Raw genomic sequence first — 22999 nt, 5'->3', positions numbered from 1 at the left:
GAGCGGGGCTCCGCCGAGGTCGTCGTGCGGTAGGCGGAAGCCGACGGAGATGCGGGACGTGGGCGTGTCCTGGTCGGGGTGGGCGTGGCCAGACCCGCCCCGCCCACTCACGCCCCTTGCCCCGCGCCCCGCAGCGACTCGGCGGCGGAAAAGAGCACTGGCAGCATCCTGGACGACATCGGCAGCATGTTCGACGACCTGGCCGACCAGCTGGATGCCATGCTGGAGTGAACGCCGCCTGGCCGGGCCCTCCCGCGCCGCCCGGGCCCTCCCCGCACACTGACCTATACCTCAGGATGGGCGCGTCTGGGCGCGGCGCGAGCGGCCGGGCAGGGCCCTGCAGAAGCACAACTCCGGCCCCTGGACCCGGGCCGGGGCGCCCACCGGGGACCGCCTGGCCGGGGGCTCCAAGGGCTCTAGGCAGACCCTGCGCCCGCGGGTCCTCCCCACCTGCTGCTCCCCGTGCAATACCTGCTGGGCCTCCTGCCCGCGCGGGAGGGGAGGGCGCCCCGGGACCAGGGATGGGGCAGCGCACAGGCCCGGGCCCAGCACAGAACTGCCCATCGGGACGCCCGGCCAGCCGCTCGGGCGCAGCACAAGGGACAGGGGACCAAGGTCAGGGCCCCCCTGCCCCACCGCACCCCCAGAATATAAGCTATCAAGAGTATTAATTTATTGGGAATGAGCTGAGGCGGATTTCCCCAGAGAAACAAAAAGGTATAACTTTAACAAATATATATTTAAAGAAAGAAATATTATTGATTCTATAGAAAACCATTTACCAACTGAAAGGACACGAAGTCTAGCTCCGGACAAAAGCTGTTAGAGGCCCAGGCTGTCTGCCTGCGGTCCTTCCTCCGGCCAGAGTGGAGGCCCCAGGCTGCTAGCACAGGTGGAAGGCTGGGGCCCGGGGGCGGGTGCTCTGCCGGGGGCTCCTCCGTGCTTCTCTCCTAAGTTCTCTGCGCCCCAAGAACTCGAGGTTGTGCCTTGCTCTCGGCGGCCGTGTCCTCCTCCTGGCGTGGCTGCGTCCCAGGGCGCGGGTGGGTTTGGTGAATGTGGGTGTGTCAGCGTGGCAGCCACGTGGAAGCAGGGCATGTAGCAGGCCAGGCCACGGGCTTGCAGCTCCTCTGAGGGTGTGCCTGGCCCCCTCTCCAGGGGCTGTGCAGGCAGCCCATCCACCCCAGTGGAGTTCCCACGGACGCTTCTGCTCATGGTCCAAGGCTGTGTTGTGTGGTCATTCTCGCCCTCCCTTTTCCTCTCTCCTCCTGCCCCCTCCAAGAAGTACTGACTGGTCTCCTCTATCGTGTTTGCTGATCCACAGTGTTGGGCACAACTTTGACGTTTCTTAAAAAAAAAATTTAAAAAATGCCGAAAACCAGCGATTGTGGTGTGGGGCGGGTGGAGGCGGCTGGCGGAGGTGGCGTCCCGGCGTGCAGGGCCCCTTCCTGCTGTCTCACCCCGTGTTTCCCTGCGAGTGGACGTGCCCAGCTGTCCCCCCAGGCCTCTCCTCAGAGGGCGGCACAGGCTGGGCTCCAGCAGGTGGGCAGGGGAGGTCTGGGCAAGGCGCTGCCGTCGGCTGTCAATAAACAGCAGGAAACAGAGGTGCCTGGCTCACTTTTTGGGGGCACATGTGTTGGGGGAGATGGGACTGGAGGCCAGCAGCTTGGGTGTGACGAGTTGCCTCCTAGCAGGGAGGGGAGGCCCCGGAGTGGGCCGAAGTCCTGGGGTCCACCAAAGGAAACTGCCCCATGCCCCCCCACTCACAGCAGCCAGTGCCTGTGCACACCAACCTCAAGGCCACACACAGCCCCCTTGTCCCGAGGAGCTGTCCCCACTCACAGCCACAGTCTGTGGAGCATTTATTTCAACCAGGAGGTAACCAAATCTACATACAGTCTAAAAACGGTAGAAAAGGTGAGTAAAAAGGCCCTCGCTCCATCTAGGGTGGGGATGGAGGGTGGGGATGGAGGGTGGGCCGGGGCAAGCGTCGTACCTGGCACCCAGAGAGGGGCTGGGCAGCAAGGACAGTGCCGAGTAGAGGGAGGCTCGCCGAGCATGGGACGGGGAGGGCACTGCCCGGCTGCCAGAGCCTGTCCACCTATGCCCACGGGGCAGGCAGAAACCCCGAGACCACCCCATGTGGCCAGCCTGGCTCAGAAAGGTCCAGGGCTGGTTCAGGGGAAACCACAGCCTGGCCTGGATCCTGTTAGCAAGTCCAAACCTGCAGAGAAAGGGCTGCTTCACCAGGATGTCCTGCGGCCGGCTGCCCTGCCCCAGCCACACCTGCCACACGTACCTGCCCTCCACCACTTTGTGCTGGGGCTGCCAGCTCCTCGTCCCCACCCCCGCTCCATCCTGTGCAGCCCCTTTGAATGGCCTGAGCCACGGGCACTGACCTTCACAGTGCTATCCACAGCCCCTGAGAAGAGTCGGCCCCGGGACACAGCCAGCGCGGTGACACTGCCCTGGTGACGCAGCAGGGTCTGCGTGCAGATCATGTTGTCCATACTCCAGACCTGGGGGCACATGGGACGTGAGGGCCCGCCGGAGCTCAGCTGCCAGCCCTCTGAGCCTCCTGCCACCGCTGGGCCAGCACGCACCCTGAGGGACCGGTCGTAGGATGCACTGAAGACTTTGGTCTGGTCTGGCGTCGAGATGACCGCCAGGGCATACACGGTGCCCACGTGGCCCGTGAGGGTCCGCACCTGCTCCTTGGACTCAATGTCCCACACCTGGGAGGGGTGGGCACAGGCAGGTCAAAGACACTGAGCAAGGCGGGGGAGACGGGGCCACAGTCTGGCCTTGCACCCAGATGCCCAGGCCTTACGTGGATGAGGTTCTCGTAGGTGCCACAGACAATGTGGTGATTTGTCACAGCAATGGAGTAGACGCTGCCACCAGACGTCTGCAGGACGTGGATGCAGTCAAGGGTTCGGATGTCCCAGATCTATGAGTAATCGTGGGCCAGTTGGTCCCAGGCCAGGTGCTTCACCCCCAGGGCCCCCGCACCCCCAGGGCTTCAGCACTGCTGGGCAGCCCACCCACCCAGCCAGGGGATGTGCGAAGGTAGGAACAGGGCAGATGGAGCCCCAGGTGCTGGCCTGGGAAGTGCTGGTAGGAGGCAAGGCCCTGTGGCCACCAGGTGTGCCCAAGCGCACCTTGATTGTCTGGTAGGAGCCGCTGTACAGGTAGCTCTGGGCAGCCACCAGGGCCCGCACCCAGTGGTTGAGGCCTGTGAGCTCCTTCTTCAACTTCAGCTCAGTGCCCACGATGTCCCAGACCTGCAGGGATTGCTGCAACTGTGGGCTGGGCGGGCAAGGGACGCCTCAGTGACACACACGTAGGCACAGCCTCCACCCGTACCTTGATGGCCTTCAGGGAGCCGCTGAAGAGCACGTTGTGTGAGGAGACCAGCGTGCACACCGGGTTGTCATGGGCCCGGATGGTGTTCACCTTCTGCAGGTTCTGGATGTCCCACACCTGATTGGGGAAGGACCGGCAGCCTCAGGGCACCAAGCCCTGCCACCTGGAGTCTGGAGCCCAGACGGGGAGAAACACGTCCCTGGGGCACCTACAGACTGGGGCGGGCCTGGGCCGCCTCCTGCCCACCCGCCTGTAGGCCCCACTCACAATGATGGTGCAGTCTGCAGAGCCGCTGTAGAGTTTGCACCTGGGGAAGCAGAGACAATGTGTCAAGGTGGGAGAAGCTGTGTCCATGCTGACACCGCCCTGGCAGGGCCCGAGGTCCATGCCAGCCATCAGGAACCAGCAGCATGGCCCAGGGCCAAGGCCACTGCTGTGTCCTTAAGCGTCAGCCTATTTTCCAGTCTCCACATGGGAACCTTGGAAGGGGCGGGCCAGCCCCTGATGCCTGCCTGGAAAGCATTTGACAGCGAGCTGGGAGGTAATTACCCACCCGTCAGCCCTGAGTCAGTCCCAGGGCCGGCTGCTGGCAGTCAAGCTGCCGCCTCCTGAAAGCGAGCATCTCTCACGCACACGCTTACTTGCTCGCTCCCACAAAGCCTCACGATAGGAGACAGGAGGCAGGCGGGCCACCTGGAGGCAAGAAAGTGGCCAAGGTAGTTGCTCCGTAGTCTCTATGCCCTGGGCTTTGGCTGCAGGCAGGGGAGAGCTGAGCTCCTGCCTTCACCCCCTAAGGTCCCCCCTATCTTCTGGTTGCGCAAGGTGCACCTGGGCCAGGACAAGGTTCTGCTGGGAGGCTGGCTGCGCCAGGTATTGGGAACACACAACTTTGGAGATGGTGTAGGCCACACAAGGGCCCACACACTGCTACCCAGGAAACAGTGCTGCTCCGGGTGGAGGGTGCCCTATAGGTGGGGCACACACATAGCTACACAGGCTCGAGCTCATGGCTCACGGCCCACGGGGTGGCAGCGCCACGTCTCCTGTCCTGGGAATCACTGATCACACATGTGCCTGGACTCACCCCTGGATGCAGAGAGCCAGCACGATGCCATCATGGCCCTCCAGTGTCTTCTGACACTTGTAGGTGGTACATGTGTCCCACACCTGCAGAGACCAGGGCCACAGTGGGTCCCAGCAAGGTCAGCCCAGTGTCAAGGGGCAGCATGACAGGAATGAGTGAGGGAGCCCCGCCCATGGGAGAGGGCCCTGCCCAGAAGGTCCCACCCATAGGCAGGCTGGCAGTGCCAGGCATGTGGCAGTGCCCAGCCCAGCCAGGCTGCAGAGACTGAGGTAGGACCCTGCCCACCTTGATGGTCTTGTCAGAGGAGCCACTGAAGAGCAGGTCACCCATGGAGTAGACGCAGAGACACCACACAGGGCCCTGGTGGCCCACAAAGGTCCCTTTGCACTTGAAGATCTGCTGAGGGTCGTAGGCTGCAGAGATGGGAGCAGTGGGTGAAGGCCCAGTTGGGGCCCGGGGGGGAGGGTGGGCGGGAGCCACGGCGGGTCCATACTCACAGCCTAGGATGCCCATGTTCAGCCGCGCGTTGATGTGGGACAGCTCGTCCTGCAGGGCCAAGGGCAGGGCAGAGGGCAGGTGGGCAGGGCTGCTGTGGGGCCAGTGCAGCCTCTCTGCCCCTGCTGCCCTGGGCCAGGGGTGGGCAGGGGTGACAGCAGCCCCTGCCACACACAAGACCCCTGATCTTGACTAGTGTAGGCAAGGCCAGGGGAGGCCTCCCTGCCGGGGCCGCCGGCCTCCCCGGGTCTCACAACCCAGCCCCTCCAGCCCCGCCCGCTCACATTTAACATGGATGCGTCCCGCCGGAACTCCATGAGGTCCTCGCTGAGCTTGCTCTGGTTTTCGTCCAGGACGTCTGAGTAGCAGGAGGAGAGGGGGTGTCACTGGTGCCCGGAGCAGTGGCCAGGCCCCTGCCTGCCCCGGTGCCCACCCTCACCAAACTTGAGCTCCAGGCTCTTCTCTAGCTGGTCGATCTTCTCCGAGAGCTTTCCCAGCATGGAGCGCAGGAAGGCGATCTCCTGGTCCTTCTGGGCCAGAGCCACGTGCATCTCGTGGAAGCGGTCATCCGTCTGCTGCAGAAACTCCTTCAGGCCCTCGAAGCGGCAAGTCTCCAGGTGGGTCTCGTAAGTGTCCTGGTTCCCGATGAACGTGCACCTGCGGGGACAGGACAGCTGCCTGCCTGGCGGGTCCCTGCCGGTGCCTCCCCATCCCCAAGAATCCCCCTCAAATGCTCCAGCCCTGTGGCCGCTGCACCCCAGGTCCAGCTGCCCCCACCCACACCTGCCGTCCTGCCCCTCCTCCCCATCCAGCTACCCCCAGTCTGCTTCACAAGTGAGATCCCATCACGTCACCCCCGCAGAGCTCTTCAAGGGGTCCTCCCTTCCTGAGGATAAAACCCACGCTGCTTGGCAGCCTCCCTGCCCACCTCCCTGCCCTGAAGAACTGGGCTCCTGCCTCTCCTCCCACCCCCACCTCCCTCTCCAAAGCTCTCAACCCCAGCATTTGCTCAAATCCGCCCATGCTGGGCCGGCTGCGGGAGCGTCCACGCCCGCCTTCCTGGACGCCCTCGGCTCCCCCTCTGGGTTTCCAGGGCCTTGGGCCTCAGAGAGGATTACAGACCCCGGTGTGGCCCCAGCTCCGGCCTACCTCCCCGGGACCAGCAAGCGGGCAGCTCTCAGCGGAGCCTGTGGAGGGCCTGCGCCCACCCCGGCCCACCCCCGCCCGCCCCCCACTCACCCGTACTTGGAGTGGGGGCATTTGATGTGCTCGCACTCCTTGAGGTGGGCCTCCAGGTTCATCCTGAGCAGCGGGGGGCAGCTGGGGTTGTTGGGACACCGCACAGGCCTGTAGTCACAGCTGCCCTCGTGGTCCCTGTGCCAGGGCGGGATGCGGGGAGGCCTCAGCCAGAGCCCTGAGAAGCAGCCCCCAGGGAGGCAGAGGTGCCCAGGGAGGGGCACTTACTTCCGGGCGCTGAGCTTGATGGTGAAGGGGCACCCTCGGGGGTCCACCTCAAAGATGGGGGGCTTCCCGCTGCCCGCTACCCGGCAGCCGTGCCGGCAGTGGATGAAGAGCTCCCCGATCTGCTCGGCCACCGCGATGTTGTTCACCACCACGGTCAGTTTGACGTTGTCCACGGGACACTTCTCTGGGAGAGGAGGGCGTGCTGACCCTCACGGCCTGCCTGGCACACGCTCCCTCACCCGGGTGGGCATGAGCCTCTAATGGGGGCCAGATCTGTCCATCTGCGCCTCTGAGGCACGCAACATGGGAACGGGGGCACAGGTGGGCCACCAAGAAGGAGCAGCAGGTGCTGAGGGAGTGTCACCTGTGACACTCAGCTGTGCCCGGAAAAGTGTGGGGTGGGGCCAAGAGGGCAGAGGGCAGAGTGCGGAGAGGCAGGCAGGAGCGGGCGCCGTGCGGGAGGACGACAGCCTCGCCAGTGAGAAAGGCCTCCCCAGAGGGTGCCAACCCTGGCATGGGGAGCCTCGGCCCACACCCACTGTGGGGTCTCTGAGTCTGGACACACTGGAATTTGGGGTGTCCCCACTCTGCTCATGGAGGTCCCGAGCCTCAGCCTGAGCGTCCCTAGGACGGCTGCAGCCCCATCCCAACCCCAGCAGAGGCCAAACAGGGCCGGACGCTGTGCAGGGGACAAGGGAGAAGCCGCCCGCCTCTGCTCGGCAGCCATGGGCACGGTCGGCGTCAGGCCTGGGCCGGGGCACAAACCTACCTGACTTCAAGGCGCATCTCCTACAGAACGTGTGCTGTGGAGGCAAAGGGCGGGCTTGAGGGTGGCGCAGGGTCCTCTTTTTCCCTAGTCCATGGCCATGGCAGCCACAGGCCTCGCTGTACCCCAAGCCCAGTGCAGCCAGGACAGGCCTTGACCAAGGCCAGGGCGCCACAGCCCCGGCCCCCGAGAGCCCTGGGGTCCTGTGGGGGCCTCTGGCAGCAGGGGGGCTGGGAAGGGCGGCGGGCTCACCCCACACGTGGTGATCACGGGGTCTTTGAAGACGCTGCAGCAGAGCTGACAGCACAGCTTCACCGAGGGCTGCTCCGCAAACACCAGTGGCTCCTGGAACCAAGCGGGAAAGGCAGGCGATGGCGGGAGGCCACCCTCAGCCCCGCCACCACCCAGGCACCCAGGCGCTCTTGCTCCAGGCCTGGCTGTCCTCTGAGGACAGGGTCACGTCCTGAGAGAGGCCTGCTTAGAGCTGGGGGGCTTGATCGGGGCCCAGGAGGGAGAGCGAGGTCTGTGGCCCCAGAGGCAGGGCCCAACCCCGGAGGATGAGTTCAGCCGCCCAGCCTTGGCCGCCCTCGCCCGCCTCCTTCCTGGGGTGAGACTAGAAAGGGCCCTGCTGGAGCCCTGTGCTTCCCGCTGCCAGTTCCCGGGCAGCCCTGAGAAGGGGGAGTGGGGGAACATGCCCAGGGGACCCGGCCTGGTCCCTCGAGTCCCCACCACGGACCAGCAAGCACTGCAGTTCCCGTCAGGCCCCAGCCGCCCTCTCCCTGTGAGCTGGGCGGGCATGGCGGAGGGGAAGGTGCCTCCGTGCCACGGCTGCGGTGACAGCCCTGGAAGCCGCTCTGCGCCGAGTCCCCCACACCTACCGGCTCCTCCTCCTCCTCGGGCAGTGAGAATGTGGAGCGCAGAGACATGCTGGACTCTGAGTGCAGGGAGCGGACAGAGATGGCGGAGTCGGAGCGGCGGGGAGTGCTGATGGGGGGCTGTGTGGAGGGAGAGGCGCCTGTCGGGGGGCTCCGCACGGGGTCAGAGCCTCGGGGAGGACAGGACCCAGCCCGGCGGAAGCGCGAGGGCAGCAGCACCCCTGGGGCCACCCCGGTCCCTGCGGGTACTCTCCTCGTCCACGGGGGCCGTGGGTGGGCGTGGGGAGCTGATGCAACCCAGGTCCCTGCCTGCCCGCCTGGGCGGCCTGGGCCGGGGTGCTGGGCTGCCCGCTCACGCCTGCCACCTCTCTTTGTGTAAATGGAGAGACTTCCTGCTATTCAATTCCATATACCCGGGCTGCTTCCTGCTTCCCGTGGGGGAATGTGGGCCGTGAGGGGGCACCTCCACCAGCCAATCCTGGACAGCCGAGGCCGTGACCGCAGGATGGAAGGGCCAGGAATGCTGGCAGGGAGCGACGGCTGGGCTCCAGGTGCCCCCCGGGCCTGGCTGCTTGTCTGGCCTTGCTGGTGGGGGACACCAGGCCCAGCTGGGAGGCTCAGAGGGAAGGCAGGGCCAGGCCCCCAGAGAACCTCGGCTGAGCTTCCCGAGGGCAGGAGTGAGGGCCACAGGTGCCTGCCTCTGGCTGAGCCACCGACAAGGGAGCCTGGGGGAGGGGCAGACACTGTCCCTTCCTCCCCTCTGGCCTGGAAACCTCCAGAAGTTTCCAAGAGCCACACTGCCCAAGGCTTCTCTCCTGGTGCTTTGACTGCAGAGGGGCCCAGCTGCTGCTCTGCCGAGCCTCTGGCCCCCTTCCCGGCAGCCTGGGTATGAAACCCACAGAGCACAGAGGCAAACCAGTCCCAAGGCCGGCGGGGGGCATTGTGTGCCATGTACCCACCTCCCTTTGGGTCCCAAGGGCCCGTCTGCATGGAAGCAGCACATGGGGAACAGAAGGGAGTCAGAGAAAGTGAGTCACAAGGCCCCACAGCAGCAGAGGGAGCCCCAGGGGCGAGAGCAGAGCAGGAGCTGGCACGGGAACCACTCTCCCGGGCCTGCCCAATACTACCCCAGAGTCTCCCACCCTCTTGGGCGTAGGGGCTGACAGCAGGCAGGCCTGGGGGACGGGGGAAGGGCAGGAGGGGGACTCCCTGTGTGGGCCTATCAGCAAACAGAGAAGGTACCCGCCTCTCTTGAAAGCCACCGTGACCCATGGGGATAGCAGGTGATTATGGGAACCACAGACATGGAGGACTCGTGGCTTCGGGTTGTGGAGACCGAGGCAGGCAGAGGCCCAGGGGACGGGGCCCAGACATACCCAACTCGCCCTCGGCCTAGCACAGCGCCCGGCACACAGGTGTGTTTGTTCAATTAATTAAAAACTTCTTTTCTGGCTGAGCAAGGTGGCTCACACTTGTAATCCCAGCACTTTGGAAGGCCAAGGAGGGGGCAGATCAGCTGAGGTCGGGAGTTCGAGACCAGCCTGACCAACATGGAGAAACCCCATCTCTACTAATTCAAAATTAGCCAGGAGTGGTGGTGCACGCCTGTAATCCCAGCTACTCGGGAGGCTGAGGCAGGAGAGTCACTTAAACCCGGGAGGCGGAGGTTGTGGTGAGCTGAGATCACACCATTGCACTCCAGCCTGGGCAGCAAGAGCAAAAGTCCGTCTCAAAAAAAAGAAAAAAGGAAAAAAGAAAAGGCCTCGGTCCCAAGAGGGCCAGCAGGGCCGCCACACCTGGTGTCCAAGCACTGGAGAGAGGCAGCTGCCAGAGAGGCCCCACACACCCCCACCCCCTGCTGGGCCAGTCCTTCATGCCCAGGGTAGAGTTGGCCTCTGTCCCCTGGGTAGGCCCAGAGCCCAGCAATGAGCGCCATTGACCAGGATGGCAGGGAACGGCCACTGAGACCCTGGCCACAGGGCTCAGGTACCAGCAGCCAGCCCCCGACTGCCCTGATCCTTTCTGCACCTCACACAGCCAGCAACAGGGAATTCTCCGGCTCCCCCAGCACTTGGCGCAGGTTCCGCAACCCCCACCCCATTGCCTCTGGTGTCCCCACAGCTTAGGTCCACACACCTTTCCCCCCGCCTCATCAGGACCCCTCCTCAAACCCTGCCTGGACCCAGCAACCCCGCTCATTCCCTACCCAGCAGCAAAGGAAGCTTTCAAAGCATGTATTTTATTGTGCTATCCTCCTGACTGAACTTTCTGTGGTTTCCACCTCCCTTAAGATGGAGCCAAATATGCCTCATCCTGGCCTGCAGGTGCCAGGCCCTCTGACCCAGCTGCCCTCACTGGCTGCCCCCTGCCACCCACAGTCCAGCCACAGGAGCCTCCTTTCTCACAGACTTGCCATGTCTGCCGAGGCCTCAGGGTATCCACAGGTGCTCTTCTTCTCCTGTGCCTCACCAGCTCACTGTCAACTCCTCCTGGGACCTGGTTCCCCCAGGAGGGAGGATGGGGGGAGGCTGAGGCTCACACGGGCTCCTGGGGGTAGGGACCTACCATGCTGTCCTCCTCGTCCCGCGGGGAGTAGGCAAGGGTGCTGGAGGAGGAGGGTGTCCTGCAGTGCTGCTTGTAGGTGCTGGTCCCGTCAGCTGCAAGGCAAGAGGGCTGGCGTCTCAGTGGGGGCTCCCTCAGCAGATGTGGGGGAGGTGGGGCCCATGCTGGATACCCGACCCTGTGGGTCCCCTGTAGCTCACAGCCCTCCCCAGGGCCAGGCAGGCAGGAAAGCATGCAGGGATGGCACGGGGGAAGCTTGGGTTCCCTCTCAAGGTCAAACCAGTGCCAGGAGCATGGACGCTGGGCTCGGTCTACATCTGGACAGTCCCAGCGCTGAGCCCGGTAGCCCCTGCCCCAGCCCTGCCTACCCCAGGCAGGGTCTTCTTTCAGGGCCTCTACAAGCTCCCCAGCACCCCAATTGAGCCAGCTGAGGCTCATGGCCAGCACGCAGCCATCACTCTGAAGGCCGCCTGGCAGCAGCTGGGGGTGCCATTTTATTTGCCTCTTGAGGCACCTCTGCCAGGTGAGTTCCCTGACAGCCTCCACTCACAGAGGGGGAAGCTGAGGTTGAGGTGTGGGCTGGGATACAGAAGGGCCAGGACCGCATCCTGGTGTCCCTGGCACAGCCAGGACCAGGAAGTGGCCCCAGCTTTGGTGGCCTCCTCTGGGGCAGGAGCTGAAGTGCCCTCCCTCCTCCTGCCCACACGTCACCCCAGCTTGGCCAGGGCCAGAGGGCAGGGCTACCGGCCGGTCAGTCCACGTGGGAGGCAGAGAGAGACACCTCCCGGACTCAGGACCAGCCCAGCTCAGATGTCACGATGAGCCCTGGGCTCGAGATTGAGGCCTCGAGAGGCTGCCGTGTGACTGGGCCTCGGTTTCCCCATCTGTCATGAGGGGCCAGGTGAGGTACCTGTGGGCGCCCTGCTGCCTGGCTCTGCCCATCCCTGCCGCCGAGGGGCCAGGCATAGCAGCCGTGCCCTGCCCCATCATGGGTACCTTCCGCCGTGTGACAGGGGCCATGGGGCTTCTAAGGGTAGATGAAAAGGCACCGTTTTTTGGGGGGTAGGATTAGAAAAAAAAAGAGGGCCCCTGGAGAGCCCCTGAGGGGATCACCAGCAGCAAAGAGGCGCTACTGTAAGCAGGTGTCCTTGGCGGCCCTATGACCCCATGGCCAGGTTTATCAGAGCAATTAAAAAGCTAATTAGCAGCCAGTGTGCTTCTACAAAGGGCAGAGTGCCAGAAAGGAGAGAGAACAAAGTCACCCCAGAACCCCACCCCGGAATGAGGGTCCCTGGCCCTGCACCTCGGGAAGAAGGCACTGCCACTTCCGCATGGTCTCCCTGAGCACGGCGCTTGCGTTCAAAGCGCAGCACTCTGGTTTTTAGGGGATAGGACTGAGAAGCAGCAGGGAAGCTTCAGGTTTCTGTCGTGTATCCCGCCCAGTGGTCTTGTGCAGGTGAAGATTTATTGGGCTTGGCTTGCTGGCTCATGCCTGTAATTCCAGCACTTTGGGAGGCCAAGGCAGGAGGATCACGTGAGCCCAGGAATTTGAGACCATCCTGGGCAACATGGTGAGACCTCATCTCTACCAAACATAAAAAAAATTAGCCAGGTGTGGTGGTGCCTGTGGTCCCAGCTACCTGGGAGGCTGAGGTGGCAGGACTGATCCCAGGAGGCACAGGTTGCAGTGAGCCAAGATTGCGCCACTGCATTCCAGCTTGGGTGACAGAGTGACACCCGTCTCAAAAAAACAAACCAGACTTATGGATCTCTTCCACTCTCCCTCCCTTCCTATTAACATGTCACAACTGCAGCACTGTTACTGAAGCCCTAGGGCCAAACTCAAGAGAAGACCTCCGGGCACACGGGACCTTTCGGAGGCTGGCCAGGAGCCTGAGACTGGGGACAAGCTGGGGATCACTGTGACAAGGGACAGGGCTGTGTGGTGGTGCTGGAGATGTCAGGGCAAGCCTCCCTAGAGGGGATGAAGAGGGCAGGGAGAGAGGGCACAGCACAGTCACCGAGGCACAAGGAGCAGGACACCCGACTCCTGTCCAGTGGGGAGGCCCAGGGCTGAGAGGCTGTGAGGACACAGGCTGCGGTGTGAGGCTGCCCGCGCCCAGCACTGGCACCCAACACCAGCTCACCGGGAAGTGTCCCTCAGTCCTTAGCAGGGTGGGCATGGGGGTGCCCCGGTTATTCCCAGCCTGGGCTGGCCTTGGCTTAAGGGCTCACCTTTTGTGATGGTGGTGACGGCTGAAAAGGCGGGTCCGAAGGTCGTTTCCATTCTGGTCTAGAGGGAGGACGGAGGAGACCTGGCCTCATTCCGGGACACAAGGAGGACGTGCACATGTGGAGCCCACTCACATGCCTAACACGCGACCAGGCCAGGCCACGCAGCACTCACACACTTAACCATGCGACCAGGCCACGCCACGCAGCACTCACACGCTTAATCATGCGACCAGGCCGCGCCACGCAGCGCTAACACGCTTAACCATGCGACCAGGCCAGGCCACGCAGCACTCACACGCTTAACCATGCGACCAGGCTGCGCCACACAGCACTCACACGCTTAACCATGCGACCAGGCCAGGCCACGCAGCACTAACACGCTAAACCATGCGACCAGGCCAGGCCACGCAGCACTCACACGTTTAACCATGCGACCAGGCTGCGCCACACAGCACTCACACGCTTAACCATGCGACCAGGCCAGGCCACGCAGCACTAACACGCTTAACCATGCGACCAGGCCAGGCCACGCAGCACTCACACGCTTAACCATGCGACCAGGCCGCGCCACGCAGCACTCACACGCTTAACCATGCGACCAGGCCGCGCCACACAGCACTCACACACTTAACCATGCGACCAGGCCGCGCCACGCAGCACTAACACGCTTAACCATGCGACCAGGCCGCGCCACGTAGCACTAACACGCTTAACCATGCGACCAGGCCAGGCCATGCAGCACTCACACGCTTAACCATGCGACCAGGCCAGGCCACGCAGCACTCACACGCTTCAGCATGCGACCAGGCCAGGCCACGCAGCACTCACACGCTTAACCATGCGACCAGGCCAGGCCATGCAGCACTCACACGCTTCAGCATGCGACCAGGCCAGGCCATGCAGCACTCACACGCTTAACCATGCGACCAGGCCAGGCCACGCAGCACTCACACGCTTAACCATGCGACCAGGCTGCGCCACACAGCACTCACACGCTTAACCATGCGACCAGGCCAGGCCACGCAGCACTAACACGCTTAACCATGCGACCAGGCCAGGCCACGCAGCACTCACACGCTTAACCATGCGACCAGGCTGCGCCACACAGCACTCACACGCTTAACCATGCGACCAGGCCAGGCCACGCAGCACTAACACGCTTAACCATGCGACCAGGCCAGGCCACGCAGCACTCACACGCTTAACCATGCGACCAGGCCGCGCCACGCAGCACTCACACGCTTAACCATGCAACCAGGCCGCGCCACACAGCACTCACACGCTTAACCATGCGACCAGGCCGCGCCACGCAGCACTAACACGCTTAACCATGCGACCAGGCCGCGCCACGTAGCACTAACATGCTTAACCATGCGACCAGGCCAGGCCACGCAGCACTCACACGCTTAACCATGCGACCAGGCCAGGCCACGTAGCACTCACACGCTTAACCATGCGACCAGGCCAGGCCACGCAGCACTAACACGCTTAACCATGCGACCAGGCCAGGCCACGCAGCACTCACACGCTTAACCATGCGACCAGGCCGCACCACGCAGCACTAACACGCTTAACCATGCAACCAGGCCGCGCCACGCAGCACTAACACGCTTTACCATGCGACCAGGCCAGGTCACGCAGCACTCACACGCTTAACCATGCGACCAGGCCGCGCCACGCAGCACTCACACGCTTAACCATGCAACCAGGCCGCGCCACACAGCACTAACACGCCCCAACCACACACGCACGCGTGCGCGCGCGCGCGCGCGCGCGCACACACACACACACACACACCACACCCCCCCCCACCGAGCTCCCCTGAGACCCCAGCTCGGGACGGGACTGCGCTGGGAGCTCTGCAGGCAACACCAGATCCCTGGGGCATGCTGGGGGTCCTGGGGATGTTGGGCTTGCAGAGGGGCACACCCTTACCCCTGTGGTGACGTCTGGGGTGGGAAGATTGCTGGGCCCCCCGGAGAAGCGGTTGTAGCGGGCACTCTTGCCTGAGCTCATGCTCTAGAGAGGCATCTACGGTCCTTGGGAAGCACCTCCTGTGGGTGGAGCACAAATGAGGGGCTTGAGAGATGGAGCCCAGGCCCCTGTGAGTCAGACGGGCTGCTGCAAGTGTGCAGACCTGCTGTGGGGCACCGTGGGGCCGCCGCAGCAGCCTTCCACCACCAGCCCCGGCTCAGGCAGGCCTCTAGGAGGCAAAGGTCCTTCACCCCGATCCCAGGTATGCAGAGGCCCGGGCAGGCAGGCGGCTCTGCGTCACCGTCCCTCAAGGCTTAGCCTTTCTGAGCTCCCGAAGAGCCCATCCAGCTCTTCCCCGAGGTGGAGGGACCCCTGCCTGGCTCCCTCTACTCCTCTGGGTCCTGAGTCACAGCCAGTCACCTCCAGGCTGAATGTCCCTGGGGCCAAGGCTGGGCCTTGGTGGGTAGGCCCAGGGTGTGGCCCACGTGGCGGGACGCAGTCACACAGGGACCAGCCAAGGCACGACGAATGTGTTTCCTGCCACGACAGGTGCGGTCAGGACCCAGCCAGCACCAGGCTGCAGCGGGGAGACACCAGCCACACCCCAGAGAAAGAACCTGCAGGGTGAGTCACCGGAGCCCAACTCCACACAAACCGCACTGCACGGAAAAAAGCACAGGAGAGAGATGAGCCCGCCCCTGGAACCCGTGCAGGTCACCCACACTCCCAGCCACGCCACAGGGGCTCAGGGGCTGGTGGGTGGGGGGGCAGGGAGAAGGCATGCGGGAATCACCCTCCCCAGAAGAGAGGGGCTGGTGGGCCTGGGGGAGACGTGGCCCCTCCGTGGGTGCTGGGAGTGCTGGCCAGGCCCAGGGACACCAGTAGGGGAAGGTAAACATTAGAGAGAAAAAGAGACCCAGCCAACAGGTCACACCCAGGACAGAGCCCGGGGAAGGGGCTGTCCATGCTGGATGACGCCCACTCTCCCCCCGTGAGGCACCAGGCTCTGTCAGCAGGCGCCCCTCCTCCCGAGCAGGTCCCACTTTCAGGACTTGGGCAGCCTGGAAGCCAGGAGCCTGGCAGAATGCAGCTGGGACAGCCCTGTCTCCTGCTGGCAGCGGATAGCGCAGCCGAGCCCCGGCTTGAAGCTGAGCTCCCTGTGGGGAGGAAGGCCACGTGCCCAGGACTCCTGCCCCGGGCCCACCTGCACTGTCCACCTCGAGGCCCATGCGCAGCACCCCATGAGGACACACCATGGGCTCAGCTCCCAAGGCAGGAGCCCTCAGAACAAGCTTGCTCTGGGGGCGGTGCAGCAGCAGGGAGCCCACTCCTGCGGCCCTGCTCTCACCCTGGGGAAGCCGGGCTGCAAACCAAGGCCCCAGGGGCCTGAGAGGAGCAGGACAGTCCCAGTCCCAGGCCAAAGTGGCGGAGCTGGTCTCTGCCCCCACCCAGCAGGAGCACAGCTCAGGGGGCATCACTGAGCCCAGCTGGCTCCAGTACCTCCTCCATCAGTCCCTCCTGACTGGGTCCCTTTGGCCATGCCCGCCCTGCATGCGCCTTCAAGATGCCACTCATCACCCACCACCGTGCCCACAGTCTGGCCTGGGGCCCCCCAGCCCGGCCTACAGGTGTGCAGGGAGGGGCTGGCTCTCAAGCCCTTGGTTCCCTGCACCTGAGCTCCTGGGCTGTCTACCACTCCTGCTGTCTCCTCTCCCATTCTCTAGGCTGCCCAGGCCCACCTGTCCCTTCCAATGCCACCTGGAAGGCCACCCACCCTGGAGCCACTCAGCCTTCAGGACTCGGGCTCAACCCGACATCTCAGCCCCTGCAGTTGGCAGCGCCACGAGCTACCTGGCCCCACCTGATCTTTGCGTCCCATGGTCTCGGGAGATGGGGCCTGGCCAAAGCCTCCCTCGGCCTTCCCCAGGCCCCACTGCGACTCGAGGGGCTTGGCCCTGTGTGACCCAGACTAGGCTCTCGGGGGACTTCTCTTGTGGAAGAGGCAGGGGCTCCTGAGTGTGGGCAGTGCCACACACCTGCAGCCAGGCTCAGAGGAGTCAGCCCTGGGACAGAGGTGTGGTCGTGGTGTGTCTACAAGGCTGCTCTGCCCTGGCACATGTCTATCCCGTCTCCAGCAGCTCCCGGCAGGAAGGTCGGGGAGAGCTGGCCAGGGCTTGCCTTTTGCCATTGTGCTTGGGGTGAGGATGTCCCAGCTGGGGTAAGGCCCTGATAGCCTGAAGTGCAGGGCGCCATGACTCGGCACAGGAGGTTCAGCCCTTTTGGGAGCCCCAGGTTGGCTCCTGCCCTCTGGGAGCAGGGAGGGGATCACCGGGCAGCCACTAGGAGACACTGACCTGCATTTTACAAACCCATCAGCTCCCTGTACTGCAAGCTTCCGGGGCCCCAGGGCCAGCTGCAAGCCCTGCCAGTGATGCCTGCCCGGGGGCCCAGGTGGCCAGGACCCCAGCAGGCACTCCCCTGGGATGGGTCGGGCTGGCCTCAGTGCCTGTTGCTCACAGTCTGGGAGAGCAACTGTCTGGCTTCCCCCTCACTCTGAAGTGAGGTGAACAGAAAGGCACGCAGGGCAATGTGCAAATCAGCCAGAAAGTCCCAGCTGGCCAACAGCAGCCGGGCCACGGGGACAACACCACAGGATCTGTGGGGTGTGCGCAAGACCCCATCGAGCGCCAGCTGAGGGGGACGGAAGGAGGGAGGGGACGGAGGGAGGGAGGGGGCAGAGGGAAGCAGGGGGACGGAGGGAGGGAGGGGGACGGAAGGAGGGAGGGAAGGAGGGGGATACTCTGCACAGGAGGCTGCTTCCCAGTTCACTCGGGTTCAGTGTTCAGCCCCAGCCAGGGACATGGAGGCGGGCGGGACCCTGGGGCTGGAGGCCAGGGAACGTTTGTGTCCCGCCCTAAGGCAGGATCCATCCCCGCACCTCGGAATTGAGCAAGATGCCCGAGGCCTCCCCTCAGCCCAGTCCCCAGGGACTGGGTTTTGCAGTAAGTTTCCCCAGTAGGGAGAGGACCCCTTGGGCCACAACTGGAAAGCACAATAGCTCAGCATCCCCTGATGGCTGGGAGGCTTTTCTGGGGGCATGCCCTGGCCCCCCAGAGGGAGAGTGCCTCTTTCCCCACCCCACAGTCATCGAGGCTGGGGGGTGGCCGGGCAGGAAGTTGTCAACCGGAGTGAGAATTCCCCTTCAATTCTCTGGCCTCTCTGCCCTCCAGTTCCCAGTGCTGGGGAAGTGGGGGTGTGTTCCATAGAATGAGAGACTCTTCCCAAACCGGGAAAAGCCATGGGGGCAGCTAGTGGCTGAGAAAGGGCTTTCCCCATCAGCCCCCCTACCCCTCCCTTCCATGTCCCCACCACGCCTGCCCGAGCACCGCCCGCCCACCCACACCGCCCGCCCATCCACACCGCCTGCCCGAGCACCTCCCGCCCACCCACACCGCCCGCCGGTCCACACCTCCCGCCCGTCCACACCGCCCGCCCATCCACACCGCCTGCCTGTCCACACCACCTGCCCGTCCACACCACCTGCCCGTCCACACTGCCCATGCTGGATGCTCCAGGAGTATTCGATCTTTGAAAGAGAAAAGTCATTGAGGAAGCGCAGCATCCACCCTGGGGAAGGCCAGTGCTGACCTTCAGGGGCGAGGTGCGTGGGTCAGCACCGTGCAGAGGGGAAGGGCAGGATTGGCCCCCCACCGTCCCCTCCAGCTGGGGCCAACGCAGGGCAGCCCCTCCCTGACCTCGCCTGAATCTGGGATTCAGGCCCAGGGTCTTTGTCCACCCCACATTCACGTAGGAGGGATTCCGGGGCCCTGGGGGCACCCACTGTGCAATAAGGAAGTGGAAGTCTTCCTCAGCGCCTCGCTGCCTCCACCCCAGCCCCTCTTCGGCAAATCCCTCAGGAGCCCCTCCCTAGCTCCCACAAGCTGGGCTTAGAGGGCTCTGCTGGGGCATCGCCCTGGGGGCATGTGGGATGCGGACACCCACCCCTTTCCCTGGAGACACACCTGGAGGGGGTCTGGGTCAGGGGTCCCCGCCCACTTGGCAGCAGCCTGGGGGGCCCTGCTGAGTGGGGGAGATGGGGGCTTCCAGATGCAGCTCCCTGCTCGGGCCAGGCCCGGCCTTAAAGCAGCTCCTCCAGCAACCCGGAGCAGGTGGGGTGTGGGGGTCCCCTGAACATGTGTGGGGCGCAAGCCATGGGTGGGTGTGCCTGTGAGGCCTGCAACTGCCCTGGGAGGAGCCTGGGACGGCTCCAGAAGCCTCCGCCCCGCCTGCCACAGGGCTGTGTGTGGCCGGCTGGCTGGACTGCGGCCAGAGCTCCGAGCGTGGCCCCTGGCATCACAGAGCCTGCCCAGGGCACCCACAGACTGCCCGCCCCAGCCCAGCCCCTGCCTCAGCCCCCTGGCCCAAGCCCAGGCCGCTAAATTCTATAGAAACAGGCCTGGTTGCCATAGCAAAGCCACACGCACTTCCGCCGCTGTTCCCTGACGTCCCTTAGAACGTTTTTTCCATCCCAAATAGGCAGGGTGTGACGTCGAAGGCTCCTGGGGTGCCCCGGCCTCTGCCAGCCTTGGTCCTTAGGATCCCCTCAGAACCCCAGCAGGCCCTGGTCTGAGGCCGGCTTGGCCCCGCTTCCCTCCTAGCACGGCGAACCCCCTTGCCTGTCCCTGCCCCCAACACCCACAGCCCCAGCTCTGCAGAGGCCTCTGAACTCCTCCCCCAGCTCTGCTCCTACTGCATCCACTCAGCCTCCAGGCCTGTCTTGCCCTGGCCAAGCCTCTCCAGCGTCCGTATCTCCCTCTGCTCCAGGGAGGGGGTCCCCACAGCTCGGCCAAGGCTTTACCCCAACTTCACAGTAAGGATGCCTTTTGCTGCCCCTCCGACCCCTTGGGGGCTGGCAACATCTCTCAGTCCTTTTTTCCCCTGTATCTCATGGCTGTCTATTGTGTGGGGACCTGGCCCAGTCGAGGGGAAGTCCAGAGGGCTTCCTGGAGGATGAGGCTGCTGGGATCCAGAGTGGGGAGAGTATCCTGGGGCACAGGAAGAGACCCCAGCTTCACAGCTCTGGGCTGGGGAGTGCGTTCCTGGCTCTCACCCAAGTCAAGTGGGCCTCAGACTCTCAGAAACAGGTCGTGAGCTTTGCCCAAGAGCCAAGGGTGGCAGTGTCCCCCCCCCCCCCGCCGAGCCCACGCTTCCCAGTCCCACGCTGTGTTCTCATTTGCTTCCTGTGTGGCTCGGTCTCCCGGGCTCCCTCCTTCCTTCTGCCCTGCAGCAGCAGGGAGCTGACATAAACACTGGCCATACATGGGCCCGAAGAGGCAACAGGAATGTGAGGGCAGAGACCACTGACCCCCTCAGTCACCCAGCGCCCTCATGCCAGCGTGCCACCGCACTGCCACCTCCTTTCCCACACCGTCCCACGGCCCTCAGTCCTGGCCCTCTGCGTCGCTGCCCCCTACTTCCCACCTGGGTGCTTCTGGGGTTGGGTCACCTCCACCCCGAGTTTCCAGGCAGCCGGCTTCCTCCAGCCGGGTGAGGGTGTCCGGGTCTACACGTGACCAGCCCCAGCCTCCAGTGCCCGCTTTCCCCTTTCACCTGCCCCACCTGGCTGCACCCTCCTCCTCCAGGGAGCAAGGCTGGGGACAGCAGCGGATCTGTCAAAGACTAAGGGGTTGGTGGGTCCCTCTCCACAGGTTCCCCCCGCATGATCCACACAGAGGGCCTGGTGAAGTCCTCGGTGCCCACCCACTGAGAAGGCCGGACTGAGACACACGCAGCCAACAGCTCTCGGCCCTCCCCACATGCCCTCCCTGACCCCGCAGGGTGTCCATCCAGGAGATGCTGTGACACCGTGGTCAAGGCCACAGGCACTGGGCTCAGACAGAGCTGGGTTCAAAGTCCACTTCTACCACTTCACAGCTGTGTACCTGCCCTCCTGGCCTCGGGCTTCTCGAAAAACGGAATAGAGCCAGAACCCTGTCTGGAAGGAGCCGAGAGAAGATGGATCCGTCAAGAGTGAAGGCACCCCAGACAGCAGCTCCTCTGCTGAGTGGACCATGGAGGCTGAGGAAGGCGGAGAGGCCGGCCCAGGGACACAGCCAGCAGGCTGTGCCGCTGTGACCAGAGTCACATTCCTTCTGCTTCGTCCACGGCTGCCACACATCCAGGAGCCCCGGCAGCGCCTGAGCCAGTCCCATGCCAAGCCGGGGAGTGGCTGCATCCCAGAGCCAGGCTGCCCAGGCCTCCTGGCCAGGAGGCTCTTCAACTGCATCTTCCTCCTTTCCCCAAACTGCTCATTCCTTGTCCAACCAGCTGGCCGAGAGTCACACCAACCACGGGGTGCCAGGCCCCATGCGGGAGGGTGGGGATGTGTGACGGCTGAACACGAATCTGACCCGGGAGGAGCTAGGAGCCTTGTGGGGGACACAGGCAGACAGAGGGGCAGGAGCCCCACCAATCGCCACTCAATCTGCCAAAGGCACTTTTCGGTGGGTGCCAAAGACCCTGAACTTTTCCATTCACTTCCAGAAATATCGTAACACTTGGCCCCAGTGGGCCACGGTGGAAGTCACTTCACCAGAGACCCTCAGGTTGGGGCGTCAGGTTGGGGTGCTGACTCCCAGCCCCTCCCCTCCTTAGGCCAGGCTGCCCATACCACTGCTCCCCCTCAGGACACGGGGCCCGAGGCTTCCACAGAGAACTATGAATGCCCAGAACAGTGAAGTCAGGATATTCGCAACAGAGAGGCACAGGGAAGGGGTCTAGGAAGGGAGAGGCCCAAAGAGAAGGAATGAGGAAGAGGGAGGCTCCTCACTTGGCGAGGGCTAGGGGGCCTGTGTGTGCCCAGGAAGGGGTCTGAGGGGTAGTGAGAAAGGTGGGCAGACAGGCTGGGCGGCATGAAATTCCTGAGCAAGCCAGCAGCCCCTCACCCCCAAGAGCAGGGTGGGCTCCAGCAGGCCCCTGCCCCTGGACTCCAGACTCAACCCCAGCTGACCACTCTGGCCTGGCTCAAGACAACCGTATCTTGACAGCAGGACCCCAGTGGGGACTAGGAGACGATGGCCTAGCCTCCCTCTCTCCTGCTTCCCCAGTGAACTCTGAAGTCTGTGGTCCACACACAGTTAGAAAGCTCTTTACTGGACCTAGATCGGACCGCCTCTCCAGCGCTTCCTCAACCCCAAGTCATTTGCCAGCATAATAACCCCCCCGCCCCACCCCACCATGCACCCTGTGAGCCTGGTCCGGCCTCATCGACTTCACCTCTCCACTTGCCAGTGCTTGCTGGGGTGCGTCAGGCCCCTTCTCACCCCAGGCCTATGTACATCTGGCTCTTTCTACTTGGAATGCTCCTCCTGCATGTCCTGGGACTGGCTGCTTCTCCAACAGGCCTTTGGCTAACGGTAGCGCCGCCCCTACCCCCGGCCAGTACTCACTTTTTCAGCACCCTCTTTCTTTCTTTCACAGCACATACCGCTGCTCCCCATGATTTTAACTACCTATTGTCAATCCCACCACCCTGTCTGTCTAGATGGGGGATGGGGGGAGTTGTTCCGCAGGAGGCATTTGCCAATGCATGGAGACATTTGTTATCGCAATTGAGGAAGGGGTGGTGTTTACTGGTATCTAGCGGCCAGGAGCCAGGCAAGCTGTTCCACATCCTACAATGTACAGGGCAGCTCCTCGCAGCAAAAAGCGACCCGGGCCGCGTGGTCGATGGTGCGGAGGTTGGGGAACCCTGCAGCAGACGCCGAGCACAGGAGAACTGGGACCGTGTTCTCCGCGGTCTCCCGGCGCCCAGAACAGTGCCTGGCACCCGGGAGTCTCGGGGAATGCAGGAAGAAGGAATGAGTAAAGAACTGCGCGAGAACAGGACGGAGCGAGGGACGGACTACTGACTGGCGGACGGACAGCGACGCGGACCCCGACCCTGACCCCGACCCCGACCGTCTCAGCCCCGCCCCCCCCTCCCCGCCCCGGCCCGACCCCTCGCCTCGCCTCGCCTCGCCTCGATCTCCACGCGCCCGATCCCGCCCCACCGCGCGGTCCCGAGGCGCGAGCCCCGGGTCGGGCGCGCCGCGGGGACACTCACCCGCCCGCGGCCGCCCGGGAGCGGCAGCGCCGCCAGCCCGCTTCATGATGCCCCCTCGGCCGCCGGCCGGGAAAGGG

At 64.0% G+C, this 22999-nt stretch overlaps 2 protein-coding genes across 6 annotated transcripts in view, besides 14 other annotated features; one reads left to right on the top strand and one right to left on the bottom strand.

Moving 5' to 3' along the window:
- Window positions 1–1601, top strand: part of CASKIN1 (CASK interacting protein 1) — a 19426-nt gene extending 17825 nt beyond the window's left edge. For both annotated transcript variants that reach the window (XM_024450361.2, NM_020764.4), the window contains one exon: window positions 135–1601. In XM_024450361.2, coding sequence (XP_024306129.1) covers window positions 135–231 — 97 coding nt within the window. In that variant the 3' untranslated portion in view covers window positions 232–1601. The remainder of the gene's footprint in view (window positions 1–134) is intronic.
- Window positions 452–953: an enhancer, noted in NCBI's record as "H3K4me1 hESC enhancer chr16:2227829-2228330 (GRCh37/hg19 assembly coordinates)". NCBI's record gives its function as "activates a minimal SCP1, AML or CMV promoter by ChIP-STARR-seq in naive H9 embryonic stem cells {active_cell/tissue: H9 hESC(naive)}" and the evidence as "EXISTENCE:reporter gene assay evidence [ECO:0000049][PMID:30033119]".
- On the bottom strand, window positions 652–22999 carry TRAF7 (TNF receptor associated factor 7). Of its 4 annotated transcripts, none has more exons than NM_032271.3 (21): window positions 22923–22999; window positions 14780–14898; window positions 12845–12902; window positions 10613–10704; window positions 8051–8167; window positions 7425–7517; window positions 7176–7209; window positions 6407–6590; window positions 6182–6316; window positions 5382–5599; window positions 5227–5300; window positions 4945–4993; window positions 4733–4860; window positions 4448–4530; window positions 3631–3670; window positions 3364–3480; window positions 3159–3281; window positions 2828–2947; window positions 2601–2732; window positions 2397–2516; window positions 652–2221 (listed from the first exon to the last, which is right to left on the bottom strand). In NM_032271.3, the coding sequence occupies exons 2-21, from the start codon at window positions 14858–14860 to the stop codon at window positions 2207–2209; spliced, it is 2013 nt and encodes a 670-aa protein (NP_115647.2). In that variant the 5' UTR covers window positions 14861–14898; window positions 22923–22999; the 3' UTR covers window positions 652–2206. The 4 variants fall into 4 exon arrangements, 3 of the variants coding, with proteins under 3 accessions (NP_115647.2, XP_005255684.1, XP_011521002.1); XM_005255627.6 differs by having other exon boundaries at window positions 6188–6316; XM_011522700.2 differs by lacking the exon at window positions 22923–22999 and having other exon boundaries at window positions 12845–12924; window positions 14780–14872.
- Window positions 12854–13626: an enhancer, noted in NCBI's record as "H3K27ac-H3K4me1 hESC enhancer chr16:2215156-2215928 (GRCh37/hg19 assembly coordinates)". NCBI's record gives its function as "activates a minimal SCP1, AML or CMV promoter by ChIP-STARR-seq in primed H9 embryonic stem cells {active_cell/tissue: H9 hESC(primed)}" and the evidence as "EXISTENCE:reporter gene assay evidence [ECO:0000049][PMID:30033119]".
- Window positions 13627–14400: an enhancer, noted in NCBI's record as "H3K27ac-H3K4me1 hESC enhancer chr16:2214382-2215155 (GRCh37/hg19 assembly coordinates)". NCBI's record gives its function as "activates a minimal SCP1, AML or CMV promoter by ChIP-STARR-seq in primed H9 embryonic stem cells {active_cell/tissue: H9 hESC(primed)}" and the evidence as "EXISTENCE:reporter gene assay evidence [ECO:0000049][PMID:30033119]".
- Window positions 14810–15309: an enhancer, noted in NCBI's record as "H3K4me1 hESC enhancer chr16:2213473-2213972 (GRCh37/hg19 assembly coordinates)". NCBI's record gives its function as "activates a minimal SCP1, AML or CMV promoter by ChIP-STARR-seq in naive H9 embryonic stem cells {active_cell/tissue: H9 hESC(naive)}" and the evidence as "EXISTENCE:reporter gene assay evidence [ECO:0000049][PMID:30033119]".
- Window positions 15310–15811: an enhancer, noted in NCBI's record as "H3K4me1 hESC enhancer chr16:2212971-2213472 (GRCh37/hg19 assembly coordinates)". NCBI's record gives its function as "activates a minimal SCP1, AML or CMV promoter by ChIP-STARR-seq in naive H9 embryonic stem cells {active_cell/tissue: H9 hESC(naive)}" and the evidence as "EXISTENCE:reporter gene assay evidence [ECO:0000049][PMID:30033119]".
- Window positions 18313–18894: an enhancer, noted in NCBI's record as "H3K27ac-H3K4me1 hESC enhancer chr16:2209888-2210469 (GRCh37/hg19 assembly coordinates)". NCBI's record gives its function as "activates a minimal SCP1, AML or CMV promoter by ChIP-STARR-seq in naive H9 embryonic stem cells {active_cell/tissue: H9 hESC(naive)}" and the evidence as "EXISTENCE:reporter gene assay evidence [ECO:0000049][PMID:30033119]".
- Window positions 18895–19477: an enhancer, noted in NCBI's record as "H3K27ac-H3K4me1 hESC enhancer chr16:2209305-2209887 (GRCh37/hg19 assembly coordinates)". NCBI's record gives its function as "activates a minimal SCP1, AML or CMV promoter by ChIP-STARR-seq in naive H9 embryonic stem cells {active_cell/tissue: H9 hESC(naive)}" and the evidence as "EXISTENCE:reporter gene assay evidence [ECO:0000049][PMID:30033119]".
- Window positions 20644–21225: an enhancer, noted in NCBI's record as "H3K27ac-H3K4me1 hESC enhancer chr16:2207557-2208138 (GRCh37/hg19 assembly coordinates)". NCBI's record gives its function as "activates a minimal SCP1, AML or CMV promoter by ChIP-STARR-seq in naive H9 embryonic stem cells {active_cell/tissue: H9 hESC(naive)}" and the evidence as "EXISTENCE:reporter gene assay evidence [ECO:0000049][PMID:30033119]".
- Window positions 21226–21809: an enhancer, noted in NCBI's record as "H3K4me1 hESC enhancer chr16:2206973-2207556 (GRCh37/hg19 assembly coordinates)". NCBI's record gives its function as "activates a minimal SCP1, AML or CMV promoter by ChIP-STARR-seq in naive H9 embryonic stem cells {active_cell/tissue: H9 hESC(naive)}" and the evidence as "EXISTENCE:reporter gene assay evidence [ECO:0000049][PMID:30033119]".
- Window positions 21810–22391: an enhancer, noted in NCBI's record as "H3K27ac-H3K4me1 hESC enhancer chr16:2206391-2206972 (GRCh37/hg19 assembly coordinates)". NCBI's record gives its function as "activates a minimal SCP1, AML or CMV promoter by ChIP-STARR-seq in primed H9 embryonic stem cells {active_cell/tissue: H9 hESC(primed)}" and the evidence as "EXISTENCE:reporter gene assay evidence [ECO:0000049][PMID:30033119]".
- Window positions 21810–22454: a biological region, named in NCBI's record as "H3K27ac-H3K4me1 hESC enhancer GRCh37_chr16:2206391-2206972".
- Window positions 22315–22454: an enhancer, noted in NCBI's record as "active region_10257". NCBI's record gives its function as "activates an Ori minimal core promoter by ATAC-STARR-seq in GM12878 lymphoblastoid cells {active_cell/tissue: GM12878}" and the evidence as "EXISTENCE:reporter gene assay evidence [ECO:0000049][PMID:35858748]".
- Window positions 22465–22564: an enhancer, noted in NCBI's record as "active region_10256". NCBI's record gives its function as "activates an Ori minimal core promoter by ATAC-STARR-seq in GM12878 lymphoblastoid cells {active_cell/tissue: GM12878}" and the evidence as "EXISTENCE:reporter gene assay evidence [ECO:0000049][PMID:35858748]".
- Window positions 22865–22954: a silencer, noted in NCBI's record as "silent region_7033". NCBI's record gives its function as "represses an Ori minimal core promoter by ATAC-STARR-seq in GM12878 lymphoblastoid cells {active_cell/tissue: GM12878}" and the evidence as "EXISTENCE:reporter gene assay evidence [ECO:0000049][PMID:35858748]".

The sequence above is a fragment of the Homo sapiens genome, chromosome 16 (genome assembly GCF_000001405.40).
Source record: "Homo sapiens chromosome 16, GRCh38.p14 Primary Assembly".
Classification (NCBI taxonomy): domain Eukaryota; kingdom Metazoa; phylum Chordata; class Mammalia; order Primates; family Hominidae; genus Homo; species Homo sapiens.
This window is presented reverse-complemented; position numbering and strand designations above follow the sequence as displayed.

Coding starts and splice junctions, on each gene's coding strand:
- TRAF7 (NM_032271.3), bottom strand. CDS start 14,860: ATGAGCTCAGGCAAGAGTGCCCGCTACAACCGCTTCTCCGGGGGGCCC. Junction 4,531..4,732: donor CCTCTGACAAGACCATCAAG/GTGGGCAGGGTC, acceptor TGGTCTCTGCAG/GTGTGGGACACATGTACCAC. Junction 3,481..3,630: donor CTGCAGACTGCACCATCATT/GTGAGTGGGGCC, acceptor TTCCCCAATCAG/GTGTGGGACATCCAGAACCT.